Source organism: Homo sapiens, chromosome 6 (genome assembly GCF_000001405.40).
Source record: "Homo sapiens chromosome 6, GRCh38.p14 Primary Assembly".
Lineage (NCBI taxonomy): Eukaryota > Metazoa > Chordata > Mammalia > Primates > Hominidae > Homo > Homo sapiens.
In genome coordinates this window covers 38,097,329-38,117,478 of record NC_000006.12, presented here as the reverse complement: position 1 = coordinate 38,117,478, position 20,150 = coordinate 38,097,329, and the positions used below count along the sequence as shown (strand labels likewise).

Below are 20,150 nucleotides of genomic sequence, written 5' to 3'. Positions count from 1 at the left end.
TCAAGAAGAGAGAAAGGGTTGACTTAAGTTTCATTCCACTGTGGGTAGGCATCCCTGTGCAGCAATTCTAAAAGGTATTACACTACAGAATACAGAAGGAAAGGTGACTGTAAAGCTATTTCAGACTGGGTATATGGTGGCTCATGCCTGTAATCCCAGCACTTTGTGAGGCAGAGGCAGGAGGATGGATTCAGCCCAGGAAAAAAAAAAAAAAAAAAAAAAGGCTATTTCAAGGTATTAACTGACTAGATGAACTAAGGTTCAAAGGTAATTTTCTAATCAAAGCTTAATTTAACAGGGATATGGAGAAAAAAAAATCTTCCATTTATCATAAATAGTAAGAAGCTCATTCAAAATTAACTTAATATCTGAATTTTATGGTACATACTCCAGAATTTTGCTTGTTTGGTAAACTTCTGAAGTCGTGAGAAGAAACCAGAGTAGTAAGTGGTGGGGGGAAGTTGAAAGCACTAAGCAGTGAGATGTAGCTCTAAGGAGATATGCATTAAGAACATGGGGATGTTTTTGTCTTTTTTGCATGTGTGAGAATAAAGGGTGTTTAGAGGCAAACATACTATGCTCCTGATTTCTCAAGCCCCAAACCTATATCGCATGCACTACTGTAGCAAACTTACAGTACTCAGAAGAAGAACGAAAGACTTCAGCCACTTAAATTTCCAAAGCTGGGCCAAGGTGTTAAGGATATAGTCTCCATCACGCCACTGGGGGAGATGCTTACCGCAGCGACACGATCCCAATTCCTGCTGCACCAGCTCCAGTTTGGTTTGGCACTGGAAGCACCGACGTCGACTCTTCTGTTTAGATCGACTGGTTTCCTCGGACCGTTCCGTATTCTCAAGTAGTCGTGGCCGTTTTACTGGTGAAGCCTCATTCTCAGACTGTGAATCTGACCAAAACAACATATTTGGGGATCAGGATTAGTGCCTGGCCTGGCAAGCACAGTTGATTAATGTATTTCCAGGCATTCTCCTGACCAGGCTACTGCCCTTGTCCAGGAATCAGACAGGTGAGAGCCAGTTCTGACTTGCTTGGTTTATACTGCACAAACTATGACAAACGTGTACCTTTAGTGCTGACTTCTAACAAGCTAGGCCTGAGCTGGAGAGGAGGGTGTGGGTGGCTCAACAAAAACCAGTTCTATGTTGTTGTTTTTAAAAAGAGCTGAGATTCTATGAGGAGACCATTCCAGCTAGAAATGGGGTCCTGTCTTTGTATTCCCTTGCTGGGACCTAGATGCTTACTGCCTGTATTGGTTAGATATCTTTTCTTGGGCATTTGCTTGTCCTCAAGTAGACCGTAATTCTTTAGAGATGGGACTATGTCTAATGTATCTCTGTATCACTATGCTTTCACAATTCCATTCCCAAAGCCAGCGTTTGATGAGTGATCTGTAATCTTTTATAGTAAAATTACTCACGTTTCTACTCTTAAAGACACAGAAGTCAGGTTCTAATACTGACAATTAGTTCAATTTGATTCAGAATGAAGGGGCACCTCTGCTGGTACACATGCAAGCTGCCCTATGAACTCCACCATGGGGTGGTGCAGCAGCAGCAGCACCAGGCACCCCACCTTGAGGTGGAGCCAAAATGGTAGGTGGAGGGGGGTGTACTCTGTGAAAACTGTGTCTTGCACAACTTCAAAAAAGTAATTAAGACGCAACAAAGCTCTTATCACAGGCAAGGCTGTAAACGACTCTTGCCTTCAATAAACTGGGCAGCTCTTTGGGGCTCTGTATTCCTGAAACAGCTGCTTGCATACCCACGATGTACCTCTTACCAAGTTCCAAATTGTTTGTGCTAAATTACTTCCAGAAGGGAGTCTCCTAAACAGTCTTCCTCAAAATAATCCAGATGCCACACCTCTTACCCCTCTGTCACCCCCACCTTGGTCTAAGCCATTACCAACTCATCAAGCCTACTACAAGAGCCTCTTCACTGGTCTCTCTGCTCATCCCCTTGTTTCTACAGTCTATTCTCCACATAGCAGACAAGTGACTCTGTTAAAAATCAAGTTAGATCATGTTACTTCCCTGCTCAAAACCCTCTAATAGCTCCCCTTGTCAGAGTGAAAGTCCAGATACTTAGACTCTCAAATACCCTGCATGACTTGCCCCACGCTCAGCTCCTGCTGCTTTCCTTCCTTTGCTTATCTCTACACTAGCCTCCTTATTGTCTCCTACCTGTGGTACTTTGTACCTTCTATTCCCTCTGTCTGAAACACTCTTCACCCAGATCTACATGGGATCTTATCTCTTTTATCACCCAGGCCCCTGATGGTGATGATGGTAGTTTGCTCACAGTCCCCCAGCCCTGCTGCACTGTACTGGCATATGGAGGCCCTGCATCATTCCCTTTGATATCTTTGCTCCAACGTCACATTTTCTTTTAAATTTTATTTTGCAAAGTCACATTTTCATTGAAGGCTTCTTCCCTGATCATCACTTCTAGATCACTGAATCCCTATTCTTAGCACTTCCCCTCGTCTGTTTCCCTTTTATTCCTCCACAGCACTTATCTTTAACATTATGCCCTAAAAGAAAGCAAACTCCAAGAGGGCAGGAAATTTCACCTGCTTTGTTTACTGATGTTCCCTCCATGCCTATGGCTCAATAAATATTTTTTGAATGAATGAATTTGTCTCCTAGGCAGTCCTAATGTTCTACTTAAAGTGGCTCTAGTGAGAAGCCACAGCCTATAGGATGTATTTTAGTGAAGGCTGTCTGTATGCCCTTTCCTAGCCTCCCTGTGTGTGAGGAAGATGCTGCACTTCACCCAAGATTGTCCAGTGGACCCCGATGGTGATGCTGGTAGTTTGCTCATAGTCCCCCAGCCCTGCTGTGCTGTACTGGCATATGGAGGCCCTGCACCATTCTTAGCAACTACAGACTTCATTTTTCATCTCATTTAATTCTTCCAGTCCTACATGACATTTTGCCCCAATACAAACCAACTAAATAAGGACTCTGATGAAAACAATTGAAGGCAAGTTCAGCCTATTTCCCAGCTCTGCTGAGCAAAGCTGTCCAGGCCCAGTCAGTGTGGTGAGTAAGGTGGCTACAGATAGGGCAGGCGCTCTCCCTTCTTCTACAAGAGCAACAAGCAACAATTTAAATATAAATCATTACAAAGCAGTCAGCTGAAAGAAATTCACCTTGTATGAGCCACACTGCTCTCTGCGGGCGGGGTCCTTTTACACAAACCAGCAATGGCTCTATTTGTATCAATAACCCTATTTAGAATTTTTTTTTTGTAACAAGAAAATTCTAGGGTAAAAACTGTAACAAAAAATGTTTTTTTCTGAGACAAAGTCCTAAATTCAAAGCATCCTTATAGGAAATTACTCCCACTGGGAGGCAGGTGTCAGCACAAGATGGGGAGGCAGCTGAGGCCTTTTCATTATTACTATGATTAAAATCTGGAGGGCCTTGGCACAATGCCAGCACACCTCTACTCTAACACAGAACTGCTCAGACCCTGAGCCCCTTTCTTTCACACCTCTGTGTCTGAAAATGCAGAGTTCACATTTAGAGCTCTTTCTACATGAATCTATCCCAAACCGTCAAACATGCTGTTCATCTGCAAAGCACCCATTTCTAAAACAAACCTTTCCTGCAAGGAGAAGACAATTTAATTTCACTGTGTCAATGAAGCCGGGGGAAAAAATAAAGACAAAAAGAATTTCAGTGTGGCAATATTATCCATAAGGTAACTATGTCCAAATAAGTAAGGGAGTTAGATATGTGAAGAAAAATTTTTTAAATGTATGAGTCCTATGGCTGAGAAATAGAATTCATATTTACATAATCACAATCATTAGTCATCACCAAACAACCCACTTTGATGGGACCCCCCAACCCCTGCCCTGCAAAGTTAGGAGGCCTGTGCAGTCTTGACCTCTTTTTCTCTTAATTCCCCATCTTACCTGACCAATGGGCATTCAATAGCAACACTAAGGAATGTCTACATGATCCCATGCTGAGATTTTCCTTGATCTATTCCACATTAATATAAAGACCACTGAGTTATTTGTTCTGGTAGGCAGTAGGCATGGAATATTCTTGAACAATGAATCCTAAAGGAGGTTTCTGATGCTGCCACAGCTTCTGGTATGATATACTGATCATCCTAAAAGAACACCATTAAGCCCTACTCGATCCTCTGACAATCAATGTCCCAGCATCCGTACAAGTCTATGACCAAAGGCATCCATGTACAGGAAGTCTGGGCCCCAGGAAGCAATGCTAGATGATTCTAAAGCAAGGCAGAAGAAATGTCTAACAGAATGTGTTATGTTTTAGAATCAAAGAACTATTCCAGATAGCAAGAGATCCACACCTTTGAAGCTCTGGAATATGCCCACTTACCCTTCCCTAGATGAAGATCTGTTAGATGCTCTCTAATGCTCCCTGCCACCAAGAGCGAGGGTAAATAAGCTTCCAAAACTGCTCACTATCCTCCACAAGCTATTGCCCAAGAAGGTGACTGTGTATGTGTAATTTCTTCGAGAAGCAAACCATTCTCCGGCATTTTCTCACAAGTCAACTTAGTGTTTTAATGAGAAGCTAATGAAATAAATAGTAATCTATAGAATCATCCTCACTTGCATAAGAAATTTACATTTCCTCTGCTAATTAGTTAATGAAACCTTTGTGCCACAGGGCGAGTTGCTTAAATAAGAGAAACAGATGTCCAGGGCAGGGGTTCTAACGACATGATAATGAATTAAATAATTCAACTATTCATTTGTAAGTTTTATGTCAATTAGAAAAAGACTACCAGGAAAAAAAAATCCAAACATGGTTGACATTAAAGCAACCATCTACTACCCATATTTGAATAAATTAACCTGTAATGATTTACTTTTACTCACAAATATCATTCCCTGTTACCGTGAAGCATTGCCAATTTCCTGAAAACACCTAACAGTCTACTTACATACTCTGAACTTGGGCAGTAACAGTTAAATGTGGAGAGAGAGGTGACAAGAAATAACTCTTACAATGCAGCTTTAACTGTCAGAAGCAGCGAGTCCTTGCAAGGAGCATGCTCATTAGTAGCAGGAGGAACTCCCGTGCCAAGCTGGAAACCATTCCCACCCCAGGAGTTAACAGTGACTTCTAATTAAGGTCCTTCATAAAGGGCCAACAAAGCAGATTCTTTTTTTCCAGTATGCTTTTACTTGAGAACATAATCTAGTGTAGTAGATATACCCACACAGAGCTGCCGCTCCCCCATTCCACGTTCACAACTCTTGGTACTCACCAGACCCCTGCTTTCTCTGCCAATGTTTAATAGAATGAGAAAGATATCACATCAGATCTAGTCAAAGGAAAGTCTGATCAAGAATCATAATGTGATTAAATAAGGAAGGAAAATCTTAAGAAGAAGGATTTTGCCTATTTAGCTTTCTTGGTTTGAAAGTAACTGCGCTTAATTTTCGACAGAGAGACAAGTACTGCACAGTCCGTCTCTCGGTATCCAAGGGAGATTGGTTCCAGGACCCCCCAAGGATACCAAATTCCATAGATGCTCAAGTCCCTTATATAAAATGGCAAAGTATTTGCATATAAGCTACATACATCCTCCCGTATACAGCTGACCCTTGAACAACATGGGGTTTGGGGCGCTGACCCCTGTTACAGCTGAAAATTTTCATATAACTTCTGACTCCCTCAAAATTTAGCTAGTAATAGCCTCCTGCTGACCAGAAGTCTCACTGATAACACACAGACAATTAACACATATTTTGCATGTTTTATGTATTACATACTGTATTTTTACAATAAAGTAAGCTACAGGAAAAAAAAATTAAGAAAACCATATGGAAGAGAAAACACAATTTCTCTTCCTTAAGTGAAAGTGGATCATCGAAGTCTTCATCGTTGTTGTCTTCACGCTGACTAGCTGAGGAGGAGACGAAGGAGGAGTGGGGGGCTGGTCTTGCAGTTTCTGGGATGGCAGAGGCAGAAGGAAATCTGTGCATAGTGGACCTGCACAGTTGAAACCCATGTTGTTCAAGCATCAACTGTACTTTAATCTTCTCTAGATTACTTATAATCCCTAATACAATATAAACACTATGTAAATAGTTGTTATACTGTATTATTTAGGGAATAATGACAAAAAAACTACATGTTCAGTACGACACAATCATCCATTTTTTCCCAAATATTTTCAGTCTATGGTTGGTTGAATCCACAGATGTGGAACCCATGGATATGGTGGGCTGGTTGTACAGTAATTTTAAAGACATGGAATCTTCTGAAGAGAGGAATTCTTCTAATTGTACTTTCCTAGCCAGTCTCAGAAAGTAGTGTTAAGACTTTCAATTTAAGAACACAGTTTAACTGGAAAGCTTAACTGGAGACAACAAACAGAGCTACTTCTTTTAAAATTCTGTTTTGTCTCTGGCAGAAATTCACATTTGTTCCTTACTGTCATTCTTGTCTTTATTACTCATGTTCCCGCCTGAAAATTTCCAAATAAATTGTGTCATGCCTGTCAAAGCTGAATCTCAATCTCTCTTAATCTCCTGTCACCCTGCAGCTGGCAGCCTGCACACACCCCGTGCACTAACCATGGCTGTGGCTTCCTGACATCTCAGGCAGACAGGCTTTTAGGCCTCCGTACAAGCCAACACTCACAATACAGAATAGGAGAGTGGGAGAAGCAATGCGGCAACAAAGAGAAGAAAGCCTTCTGCTATTCCCTTCACCCACACCGTCCCTTACTTCTACGAAAGATGAATCTGTTTAATCTCAGGCTCTATGACAGCTCTTGAGGTACTCAATCAGTTTTTTTAGAACCTATCAGTCTCTTGACAGATTGACATTTATGATCCCAACAGCCTGTGCAAACATCAGTAAGAGCAATAATTAACGAACCCTCACACATCACTGCTGTTTCTCCTTCGACCACTTAAAAGGAGCTTTTAGCTGGTAAAACCTTTGTCCACGAAAAATACCACACTCTCACTGGAAAAACTGATAAAAGAGACTTGAAAAAAACCTGCTTTACAGGTACTTTCTGTGTTTCTCCTCATGCTTTGCTTTCGGGGTATATGCTGGGATTAGATTCATCTTCTCCTGACATTTTACTCTGTGTGCCATGAAAGACTTTGAGAAAACACCTTGCTACCCATTAAAAAAAAATTCCCACCTCATTTGACTGAAATTTTCCCTTCCTTTCTTAATGTTCCCAATGACCCTAAAATAATTTTGGAGTAACACATCTGTTGAAAAGCCATTGTGTGGACAGAGAACAAGGTTCAAGAGGCTGATTATTAAAATTTTGTGGAGAATGCCATCATCTTCATTTGATATGGAGACGAATCTAGCTTGAAATACTCCTAGGATGCCATGTCCTAGATCATAAACATTTAAAAAGTCAGTTGTTCACAAACTGCCAGGCAGTATAATTCCTAAGCATTAGTCTCCCTCTCCTCCTGGGAACACAAGATTGGGAAATCTGGAATGGCTGATCAGGAAGGCTGACCATCTTGGGAGTGCACCTGAGCTTTGAGGTCTTTGTCCTTAGTATGCTCAAAAAACATACGGCATCAGAAATCTTCCTGGGGCCAACTCTTATCATCTACCAATCAGATTTTGGTCCTCCGGATAGCAACGCAGAAGCTGCTTCTGCGGAGACATTTTTGACTAGAAGACAGTTTAAAGAGCCGCAGAACACACAGAAGTCAGGAGTCATAATAAAATTATCATATGCCCTTCAGGAGATGAGTACCCAAAACCCCAAAGGTATGTTTTAAAGACTGAGATTAGGTTTTTCACTTCCTCACAGCCCATCTTCCCTTCCCATTTCTGGTGCACAGGAACTTGGAAGCTGATTTTGGCGGTACACCATGATACCAGAAACAAGTGACTATGAACTCATCAAAAGATCAAGCAGGAGAAGCTAATGGGCCATGGGGGAACAGCTCTCCATCAAATAGAACAATCTTAAATGAAAGTCATGGCAGGCTGGGCGCAGTGACTCACGCCTGTAATCCCAGCACTTTGGGACGCTGAGGCGGGCAGATCACGAAGTCAAGGGATTGAGACCATCCTGGCCAACCAACATGGTGAAACTCTGTCTCTACTAAAAATACAAAAATCAGCTGGTAGTGGCGCACACCTGTAGTTCTGGCTACTCAGGAGGTTGAGGCAAGAGAATCGCTTGAACGCAGGAGGTGGAGGTTGCAGTGAGCCAAGATCGCGCCATTGCACTCCAGCCTCGGCGACAGAGCAAGACTCTGTCTCAAGAAAAAAAAAAAAAAAAAAAGTCATGGCAGCAAGTCCAACAGTTTTAGAGGGCAAGGTTTTCCCTCTAACTCTTCTTTCTAATCTGTATGCCTTCCATTTTTTTTTGTTTGCCTGTGCTGGCTAGTCCTTCTGGTATGATGCTGAATACGAGTGTTGAGAGAGGACACCCTTGGTTTGTTGCCAACCATAGGAAAAATGCATTTAGTCTTTACCCAACTTTTTATTTTAAAAATTTCAATAAATTTAAAAATTTCAAACATATAGAAAAGGTTAATGAATAATACACTAAGCGCCTGTGTACACTCCATTCAGATTCAACAATTAATGTTTTATCACATTCCTTTAACTCGACTATAATGGTTAATACTAAGTATCAACTTGATTGGACTAAGGGATGCCTAGATGGCTGATAAAGTATTGTTTCTGCATGTGTCTGGGTGTGTCTGCCAGAGGAAACTGTCGTTTAAGTTGGTGGAATGGGAGAGGAAGATCCACCCTCAATGTGGGTAGGCACCATCCAATCAGATGCCAGGATGGCCAGAACACAGCAGGAGGAAGAAGGTGGGATAAGTCTGTTTGCTGGTCTTCTGGTCCACTTTCTTCTTTCTGCGCCAGATGCTTGCTTCTGCTCCTCCTGCCCTTGGACATCAGACTCCAGATTCTTCGGCCTTTAGACTCTGGAGGTGCACCAGTGGCTTCCCAGGGACTCGAGCTCGGCTGCAGGCTAAAGCGTGTACTGTCAGCTTCCTTTGTTTGGGGGCTTTTGGACTTGGACTGAGCCACTATTGGCTTCTCTATTCCCCAGCTTACGGAAGGCTTATCATGGAACTTCACCTTGGAATCATGTGAGCCAATTCTCCCTAATAAACTCCTTTTTATAAATATATATATCCTATTGGTTCTGTCCCTCTGAAGAATCCTAATACACTCGCCCCTCCATATTTATACTTTTTTTCTCCCAGAACCATCTGAAAATAAGCTACATACATCAAAATACTTCATCCTGGAATACACAGATATCTAATAATAAGGGCATTTCCTTACATGACCAAAATATCATACCTAAGAATATTAAGAATGCCCCAATGTCACACAATATTTAATATTCAGTCTATAGTGAAATTACCCTCATTGTTCTTAAAGGCATGTCCAATCAAGTTTCATGTGTTACATTTGGCTCTTATGTCTAAATCTCTTTTAATTTAGAACAGTATGTCCCTCAAACTATTTGTTCATTCATTCAAATAACGTGAGCTTTTTTTTTTTTTAACAGTCCTTCTTAATTTTCCTGTGGAATGTACCACCACCTGGATTTATTCTTTCCTTCATCAATCAATCAAGCAATCAATGGTATCCTGTAACTTTTAAGCAGGTGGTTATTTATTCATTCAGGCTAGAGTGCAGTGGCACAATCATGGCTCACTGCAGCCTTAACCTCCTGGGCTCAAGTGATCTTCCTGCCTCAGCCTCTCGAGTAGCTGGGACTACAGGTGTGAGCTACCACGCCTGGCTAATTTTTTGTATTTTTAGTAGAGACAGAGTTTTGCCATGTTGCCCAGGCTGGTCTCAAACTCCTGGCCTGAGGTAATCCGCCCACCTCGGCCTCCCCAAGTGCTGGGATTACAGGTGTGAGCCACTGTGCCTGGCAGGAAGGGAATATTTAATTGTATACTTTCTGTGTTACACATTCAGAACCAGAAATGTAAAACTTCCAGCAGGCACCTGACAAGCCCACATGGCATGGCTGGAGGACTGGCGTAAGTAAAGAAGGTGAAGGGAAGGTACTGTGTAATCAACCCAGTTTCTACTGCACCTTGCAGTTGGGGAGAAGAATGCTGTTCCTTTAGGTGCCTCCACTTCACCTCTTCCACATACTGGACATCAGAATATGGCTCATGTGTGTCTTGGCAAGGAGGAGATGCTTACACAAACATTAAGAGATAAGCTTGCTACTAGTGCTTTCAATCATGATTTGTTTTAGTCTGATGGCATTCTCTGTGACTGAAATTGAACCCAGCAGGCCACACAAGTCATTCTTCCAATTATCTCCTTTCCAATGGTCTCCTTGTCTTTTTCTGATTGCCCTTTACCTCCTGACTGACACCACACTGCTGTTAGTAGTTGCTGTAAGACATCTCTTCATAGCTGCATTACTCAATTCTCTAAAATTCTTATTTTAAACCTAAGGAAAAAATTCACCAGACTAAAAAACATAAAGAAAAGCCCAGGAATGTTCATTTGTAAAAATAACCACAATTTCATTTAGTGCAATAATATTCCCAGTTTATTTGATCTGTTTAATTTATATAGGCTTCTCGATTAATGTCTACTCTGTCCAGGGCCATGACAACAGCCAATATCTCATTCATTATTTCATAAGTGCCTACTGTGCAACAGACATTGGGCTTTGAAGTAACAAATCAAAACTAAGTACAGTAGTGAGCTGTCCCCTCAAGGTGGCCCCAATCCAGAAGGAAAGATATACACATACACATATACACACACACACACACACAAACAACTAGCGCCATACTAAGTGGTATGAGGGGAGTGTTATGAACACACAAAGTAAAAGTGATAAACTCTGGGGGATGGGGTGCTTAAGAAGTAGATGAGAGAAAAGTCAGACAAGGTATCTCCTGGATTTAATTACTATATTTCCAGGCATGTAGACAGATGATTTTTAGCTCATACCTGTCATCCCCACATTCTTTTCTCATAGGCCTGCCGTTAAGAATGTCATTTGTAGGCCGGGAGTGGTGGCTCACACCTGTAATCCCGGCACTTTGGGAGGCCGAGGTGGGCAGATCACCTGAGATTGGGAGTTTGAGACCAGCCTGGCCAACATGGAGACCCTATCTCTACTAAAAATACAAAGTTAACCGGGCGTGGTGGTGCATGCCTATAATCCCAGCTACTTGGGAGGCTGAGGCAGGAGAATCGCTTGAACCTGGGAGGTGGAAGTTGCAGTGAGCCCGAGATTGCACCATTGCACTCCAGACTGGGCAGTGAGAGCAAAATTCTGTCTCCAAAAAAAAAAAAAGAATGTCATTTGTATGTAAGTTGCTACTCATCTACCTTCTTCTCTTTACCAAAAACCATCCACTAAATAGAACATTTCACAGTCTGGGAAGCAAAGGCCCTTGGAGAATGCCAGTTTGATGAGTTTTCAGGGAAATGAAGCTGTTGTCTGTCTTCTCCCTCCCTCTGAACCCACGGGGCTCAATTTTTTTCTTGGGGGCCCATGAACATCTCACTAAAATGTCAATGGTCAGCTCAGTTTTCCTTCTGTGATATTTATTTGCCTTATTTACCTAATATTGGTCTGTCTGTTCAGATATACACATGGCTTTCACTGCCAATTTTTCTCTATTAGGAATGTTCCGAGCCCATTTTCTTTTTATTATTAAATGTTTTATTTTGAGGTAACTGTAGGTTCCCATGTAGTTACAAGAAATAATACAGAGAGATCCCATGCCCCCTTCATCCAGTTTTCCCCAAGGGTAACATCTCACAGAACTCTAGTACAACATCACAACCAAGATACTGATATGGATACCATCAAGACATACAACATTCCCATCGCCACAAGGATTCTTCTTATTGCCCTTTTATAGCCATGTCCACTTCCCTCTGTTCCCCACTGATCCCTGGCAACCTGGGACAAACTAATTTCTTCTTCATTTCCAGAATTTTGTCATTTCAAGAATGTCACATATGTGAACATATACATGGAACCATACAGTGTGTACACAACCCATGTGTCCAAACTCATTAAAAAAATTTTTTTTAATAGACTGGGTCTTGCTCTGTTACCCGAGCTGGAGTGCAGTGGCATGATCACAGGTCACGGCAGCCTCAAACTCCTGGGCTCAAGCGATCCTCCCCTCAGCTTCTGGAGTAGCTGGGATTACAGGCATGACCCACCATGCCTGGACTTGTACAAGCCTATTTTTAAGGCCACTTATCATGGAAGGTGGATATGACAAAAGAGATTCCTTAAAGTTAAGCTTCCTAATAATTGCAATAATGAACACTAACACAAAGCACATATTCTTTATCAGCACCTTCTAAATGCTCTTACATATATTAACTCATTTTGGTGTTACAACAAGGCTATGAGGTAGCTACTACCTGCATTTCACACATGAGGAAACTGAGGCATTGGTTAAGTGAACTGCCCACAGTCACACAACAAATAAGTGAAGAGTAGCCTGGCCTAGAGTCCTTGCTCTTAACTACTATATATCCTGTCTCCAACAGTTGCTACACTTAAAGATGCTACTTCTGCTTTCCCATAAGAGTACCTTATTACGAAGACAACTTTCTGCTACTTTCTGCGTATACAAAGACCCAGCTGTCTCTGGGATGAGGGCAGGGGACAGATCCTGGGGCAAATATAGGAATGAAAACAAGCTCCTCTATTTCATAAAATTATCTTGTCCAAATATGATTATTAATTTATCTAGGATATATCTCTGCTGAATAAATCTACTTGTTCTCTGCTCTTAGAATATGATTTATAAGACTTCTCACATGATTTTCTTTCCACTCCTGCTAACTCTCTGGATTTCTGTGGACTGTAGTCATATAGTACTTAATTTATTCATTATCTTCTTTTCTGATGTACAACATCATTCCACCAGTCATATCTTAGGCTTAATCTTGGATTTAGATACTTGCATGTTATTTTTAAAGACTTCATCCACAAAAGTTTCTTTACTGATTACTTGTAGGATACAAAAAAAACTTCTCCCCATTAGCACAAGAAAACCTAGGTATTTTCATTTGAAATTTTATTGCTTTTAATTATCAGATAAGGCAAAACATGTCTTCTCAGCTTTATATGGGTCTCACAGGCAGAAGTCAAAGCTTCCTCTTCTCAACCACCCCGAGAGTGTCCTACAGCTCATACGCGAGGTCTCTTTACCAAAAAGGCACAGATGAGGATGGGTTCATTGAAAAACTGCAGCCACCATCCCTGTTTGTTAAGTGCCATTTCCACTGCACTAATTACTGAAAGGGCATTGCCAGGAGCTAAATTCCTCAAAGAGGTGTCTGGTCAGTGGAACCTGTCAGGCTAGCAATACAGCAGTCATCCTTTGTGGCTGATACTTAGCCTAGCACCATTTCCTTGTTTTAGCTTCTCCATATCAGCAAGACCTCTCCTGCCTGCCCAACTATATTACTTTTTTCTCATAAAGTTTTCAGTTCTCATTGTAAATGACAAATGAACCTCAATAGATAACCTTTCCTTTTTATAACATGCTTGGGCATTTTGGAGTTCAACAACATTACAATGCATTGATGTTTAAAAATACTACATTTATAGCATCAGTGGAGTACCGAATAAGGTAGTACTCTAAGTTAAGACAAAACAGACAGAAAAGCAAAACTGAAAAACCTAACAGAAAAATCTACTTCTCAAAGTCCACATGCCCAAGTCCCCTAATTTTAATCTGTTCCTTGGCCCCAAGTCAGTCTATAACCATAAGAATTCAAAGATTTGTACAGTGTTCGTACAGTGTTAAGACTAGATAGAACTTCAGTTCTACTATCTTTTGCAGTATTTATCAGAAGAGCAAAATCAGCCAAGATTTTTCATCTGCCAAAAGAGAGAAACTTGAGAAGTCCGTGAAGTGTGTATGTATGTATGTGTGTGTGTATATATATGTGTATATATACACGTGTATATATATACACGTGTATATATGTGTGTATATATATACACGTGTATATATGTGTGTATATATATACACGTGTATATATATGTGTGTGTATATACGTGTGTGTGTATATATATGTGTGTGTGTATATATATATTGTGTGTATATATATATATATATATACATACACACACACACACCCAGATTTATTTTCATATACGGTTAAGTCCTCAATGTTGCTGACAGGCTCTTAGAAACTGTGACTTTAAGGAAAACAACATATAACAAAGCCAACTTTTTTTCTCATAACGTCATAACCAAATGATGTTATCTGAGGACCTGTTGTCGTTCCCCTTAAAGTCGCAGTTTGAAAGAATCAATCAACAACATTAAGTGAGGACTTACTGTAACTGTGTTTAAGATGGGCAATGCTGTTTTCATTTTCTTAGAACATTCATTTAGAAGTTAAACTTCCAGCCAGGCGCGGTGGCTCACGCCTATAATCCCAGCACTTTGGGAAGCCGCAGCAGGTGGATCACCTGAGGTCAGGAGTTCAAGACCAGCCTGGCCAACATGGTGAAACCCCATCTCTACTAAAAATACAAAAATTAGTTGGACATGGTGGCACGCGCCTGTAGTCCCAGCTACTCCAGAGGCTGAGGCAGGAGAATTGCTTGAACCCAGGAGGCGGAGGTTGCAGTGAGCCGAGATCGCGCCACTGCATTCCAGCCTGGGGGACAGAGCAAGACTCTGCCTCAAAAAAACAAACAAAAAAGTTAAACTTTCTAGAAATACAGAGTAAGTCTCCTGCCTACTCTGTAGTTACGTGAAGCCTAGAGGCATTTAAATTCAGCCTTATAAAATTATACAACTTTTGGGCAGCTGGATAGTACCTGCAACTGTGGGCACTTCCTCCTACTGTTGACTTATATTTGGACAGGTCTGGAGGGAAGAGACAAGCTAGAAGTCTTCGAATAATGCTGTACCCCAACACCTTGGTCTCTAAGTATAGATGACTTGCCCAGGGGTTAACCTAATCTGGCCCTGAGTCCTTTGCCAAAAAGACTGAAAATAGATTTCCTTTATGGAGAAACACTGAGTGTAGGGGTGAGGTGGGGAAATGGGTAAAGATGAATGAGACACTAATTCAAGTAAATTTTCTGAATTTTTATCAAAAACACACATACAGACAAAAAGTCAGATATTCCCATGTAAATTATCCCACCCCTATGATGCCTAAGTACCCTACTCGTGAGTGTTTCTCATCTTCCAAATGTTTTGCCTGTCTGACTTATAATGCAAGCTTTCAGGGTGGGAGCAGAATCAGCTATGTTCAGTACTCTACTGGTACTCAACAATAAGATGAAGATGAAGAAGAAGAAGATGAAGGAGGAGGAGGAGAAAGAGAAGAAAGAGGAGGAAGAAGAGGAGGAGGAAGAAGAAAGAAGAAAGGAGGAAGATGATTTCTGTAACAGGACAAGTTGCTAATGATGGTAATCTAGCAGTGAGAGACTGTCATCCTGTGGGATATGCTCCAGGTTTAATGTAAGGGGGAAATGTTTGAACGTTTATATTTTGCTGTTTAAAAAAATCAGCTTGAATGCATAACTGAGTAGATGCTAAAATTAAATAGCTGATTTGTTTTTAAACTATTTTTGTTTCCAGTTTAGCATCAGCTTAATTCAGTTCCTCTCCCTACCTATCATTTAGTTTCTTCCACCCAAAATTTAGTCTTTTTTTTTTTTTTTTTTTTTTTTTTGAGAGGGAGTCTCGCTCTGTTGCCAGGCTGGAGTACAGTGGCACGATCTCCGCTCACCGCAACCTCCACCTCCCAGGTTCAAACAATTTTCCTGCCTCAGCCTCCCAAGTGGCTGGGATTACAGGTGCCCACCACCATGCCCGGGTAATTTTTGTATTTTTAGTAGAGATGGGGTTTCACCATGTTGGCCAGGCTGGTCTTGAACTCCTGACCTCAAGTGATCTGCCCGCCTCGAAATTTAGTCTTTTGACTCACTGCTCTCAAGACAAATCCTTAAGCTTATAAATAAATAACTTCTGCACCTCATGTGATGTGATGCTAAATGAACCAAAAGTTAGATTTCTTCTGGTATATTATGACACAGAGTGCCCAGAGAAAGCCTTACACCTTTTCTTCTCCCTGAATGAGTATATTAGGTGTTCCTTATACAGGGTTGTGTCAGTGTTGATGTAGGCACTACTAAGTGTGTACAACGTTTAAGAGAGCTGAAGAAAGCTGCTTTAAGAAAATGGTTTATATATAAAAAAAGAGAACTCCATTTGCAAAATGAGCTGCTGAAAAATCGGAAGCAAGGAATTCTGCATAAAATCATTATTATGAAAATTGTCTTTAGTATGTATTTGAAACATGAGAGGAGCAACTATCTAACATTGTAACCTCAATTCAACCATCTTCACTAAAAGATTTATCAAGATGTCCACATTGTGATCCACCATACTAAAACTCAACTATATGTTATATCAGTGTTAAGTTCGCAATTTTGACAATTGTACTGTAGCTGTGTAAAATAATTCCGATTTTAAGAATTACACACTGAAGTTTTGGTATAAAAGGGTGTCATGTCTGCGATTTACTCAAATGGTCAGGGATATGGATATAATACACATGCATACATGTATACAGACAGACACAAAGAGGGCGAGAGATAAGGCCAATGTGATAAAATGTTAACATTAGGAAAAGCTGGGTAGGGGGGTACCTAAGAATTTTAGGAAACATTCTTATAACTTCTGAAGTCTGAAATTATGTTAAAAAAAGAAAAATCCATAACTATATTCCAGAGCAGCTATCCTTAGAGATAAGTGGCTGGAGTGCCTACTGAATTCTTTCTCAGAAATGCTGACACTGCTTAGGTCTGATGGGAAAGTACATGACAACATGTTTGTAGCTGGTAATCAACAGTAGGGTCAGAACTCATGCTTCTCCGGGTTTGCAGTGAAGTCAAAACTTACCTGTAGGTACACTTCAGTGATTACTCACAGACTTTCACTTGTCATCTCTTGGTCCTTACTTCCTCCAACACCAATAAGAACCTATTTTTCATTGCATTAATTACTGCAATGGCTATTCTAGGAAGGATGATGACCAAGACCTTAAGATATGATTTTAATCTTCTAGAAATAGGTTTATCAGCTGGGCGTGGTGGCTCACGCCTGTAATCCCAAAACTTTGGGAGGTCGAGGCAGGCGGATCACGAGGTCAAGAGATCGAGACCATCCTGGCCAACATGGTGAAACTCCATCTCTACTAAAAATACAAAAACGAGCTTGGCGTGGTGGTGTGTGCTTGTAGTCCCAGCTACTTGGGAGGCTGAGGCAGAAGCATCACTTGAACCTGGGAGGCGGAGGTTGCAGTGAGCCGAGGTCATGCCACTACACTCCAGCCTGGTGACTGGCGACAGAGTGAGACTCCGTCTTAAAAAAAAAAAGAAAAAAAGAAATAGGTTTATCAACAGGATGCCAAGGAAAAAGTGGAGCTGAATCTTGTCAGTTACAGGAACTATCAGTTAATGCCAAGCTGGAAAACAAATTCTGCTACAGCTAACACCTCTCATTCAAAATGGTACTACATGAGTTCTCTCCCTGCATACAGCTTTCTTTTAAAAGCCATCTGCATATTTGGACATATAATTCAAGCTGTAATGTAATAACACTATCTTTGAAGAGAGTTGTTTGACTTCCTCTAGAAAAAAAGCAGCAGCACCCAGTACATTTTTCAAGTAAATACATATATACCTTGGGACCCATATTCAAGGTAAAAATTTTAAAGATTGTCTGCTATAGTCTTTTTCTTTACTCCTTGCTAAAGTAACAGAAAAATTAACACAATCTGAGTTAAATGCCCTATTTTCTTGCTTATATATGTATACATTTTTAGTAAGTTTTGAAAGGGTGGATGGGTGTGGGAAATGCATAGCATGTAACTAATTCCCCTGTCCTATTGAGCTAATGGAGGTGTAGTTTATTTAAAATTCTGAGTTGTGGTTCTGCTATTTGGGAATGGCTTTCTGAAACTCTGTGGGTGGATACTGGTAATGAAACAGAGAATTCAGAATGACGGGGTGCATAAGGCCAAATAAGCTTTTATGGCAGAGTATGTGTATGCACTAGAAATAATTATACATATATAGTGGGAGGCTGGTTAACTGAACCCACAGAGGCACTTGGCTGTTCAGATAACTAATCACAATATTAAGTCCCCCATGACAAAAATGCCTCCAAGGTTAAACTGTCTGATTTTTAATCATAAACCAGTGAATTTATTGGCTAAAGTATCTTCTCATGTTGTTGGTTTGGATGCAACAGCCAGTCTTTCTTACCCAGATTTTAATCGCAAGAAACTATTAACCCTCTGTGGCCCCTAAATTGTGATGTGCCCTAGAAAGAAGAGTTCTCAGTTGTTAGTATAAAAGCTTAGAGACCTCAGGAAATAGGAATATTTATGTTTTTAAAAGGCAAGCTTGTGAAATCTCTGTTAAGAATTACTTTCCACCAATACATACGGAAATATTTAACTTCCAAGGCCTAGACCAGGAGTTTGAACTAGCCTGAGCAACCCCATCTCTACCAAAACAAAAACAAAAACAAAAAACAAAAAACAAAAACCACATATATATATGTATTGAAGACAAAGTTTCCAAGAACCAATTAACAATGTTAAGTGAGGACTTACTTTAACTGTGTTTAAGATAGGCCGGGCTCGGTGGCTCATGCCTGTAATCCTAGCACTTTGGGAGGCCAAGGCAGGCGGATCACGATGTCAGGAGATCGAGACCATCCTGGCTAACACAGTGAAACGCCTGTCTCTACTAAAAATAAAAAAAAATTAGCCAGGCATTGTGGCACACACCTGTAATCCCAGCTACTTGGGAGGCTGAGGCAGGAGAATCACCTGAACCTGGGAGGCAGAGGTTGCAGTGAGCCAAGATCGTGCCACTGCACTCCAGCCTGGGCAACAGAGCGAGACTCTGTCTCAAAAAAAAAAAAAAGATGGGCAATACTGTTTTCATTTTCTTACAACATTCATTTAGAAGTTAAACTTCTGGCCAGGCACTGTGGCTCATGCCTGTAATCCCACAACTTTGGGAGACCAAGGCTGGTGGATCACCTGAGGTCAGGAGTTGGAGACCAGCCTGGCCAACATGGTGAAAAAACCCTGTCTCTACTAAAAATACAAAAATTAGCCGGGGACGGTGGCATGCACCTGTAGTTCCAGCTACTCCAGAGGCTGAGGCAGAAGAATTGCTTGAACCCAAGAGGCAGGGATTGCAGTGAGACAACTACACGCTTGTAGTCCTAAGCTACTCGGGAGGCTGAGGTGGGAGAATCACTCAAGCCCAACAGGTCAAAGTTATAGTGAGCTGTGATGGTACTGCTGTATCCAGCCTGGGCAACAGAGTGAGACCCTATCTCAAAAAGCGGGGTGGGGCCAGGCTAGAAAAAAGCAATACAACAAAAAAGGAAGTCTGATTTTCCCAATTATAATTCTCAATTTTCTTAAGAAAGGACAAAGGGGCTTTCTGAGCTTCCTGTCATTCACAGCGCTCACCTGTTCAAACAAGGGCTGCTATGGCTCTCCCTCCTTCCCTATCTCCACTGACTTCTACCTCCTTTCCATGTCTGCATTCTCCAATCTGACTGGCCTCAGGTGCTTATTATCAGCTTCTGATTCCATCTCTAAGTTCTTTCTCACTTTCCTCTACACTCCCTCAAGTTTCTCTTCAGTCTCATTTCATTCAAGATTGTCAGGTACCATCTGTCTACATCTCTATTATCTACTGAGCATTTACTAGGCATCATGCTAGGTGAGGTGCTTTAGATAAATTATCTCACTTCCTTCATAATAACTTTATGGCAGCCAGCCCACGTTTACCTGGCAAAAATCTAGACAGCTCTTCTTCAAAGCAACTGGATGATCTGTCTAGGCAAAGCTGTTTCTATGGTCCCTTATAGTCGAATTCTCCTCCTGAATTTGAAAGCCTAACAGCAGGTTCTCAACCTCCTTACCACTAATTCTGCCAGTTAATACCTATACTCACTGCTTCCCACACACAGCCCCCAGTAAAAATTCTCACATAACAAAGAGATATAGTAGAAAACAGTCCTAGGCTGGGTGCGGTGGCTCACACCTGTAATTCTAGCACTTTGGGTGGCAGAGGTAGGAG

General features: G+C 41.2%; 1 protein-coding gene across 4 annotated transcripts in view; it reads right to left on the bottom strand.

Annotated features, from left to right (window-relative positions):
* The window catches only part of ZFAND3 (zinc finger AN1-type containing 3), a 334,898-nt gene that overhangs the window by 37,146 nt on the left and 277,602 nt on the right, over positions 1-20,150 (bottom strand). For 3 of the 4 annotated variants that reach the window (NM_021943.3, NM_001410904.1, XM_017011171.3), the window contains one exon: positions 740-907. The exons of the other annotated variant lie outside the window; for it this stretch is intronic. In NM_021943.3, the coding sequence (NP_068762.1) occupies positions 740-907 (168 nt within the window). The remainder of the gene's footprint in view (positions 1-739; positions 908-20,150) is intronic. 4 annotated transcript variants of the gene reach the window in all.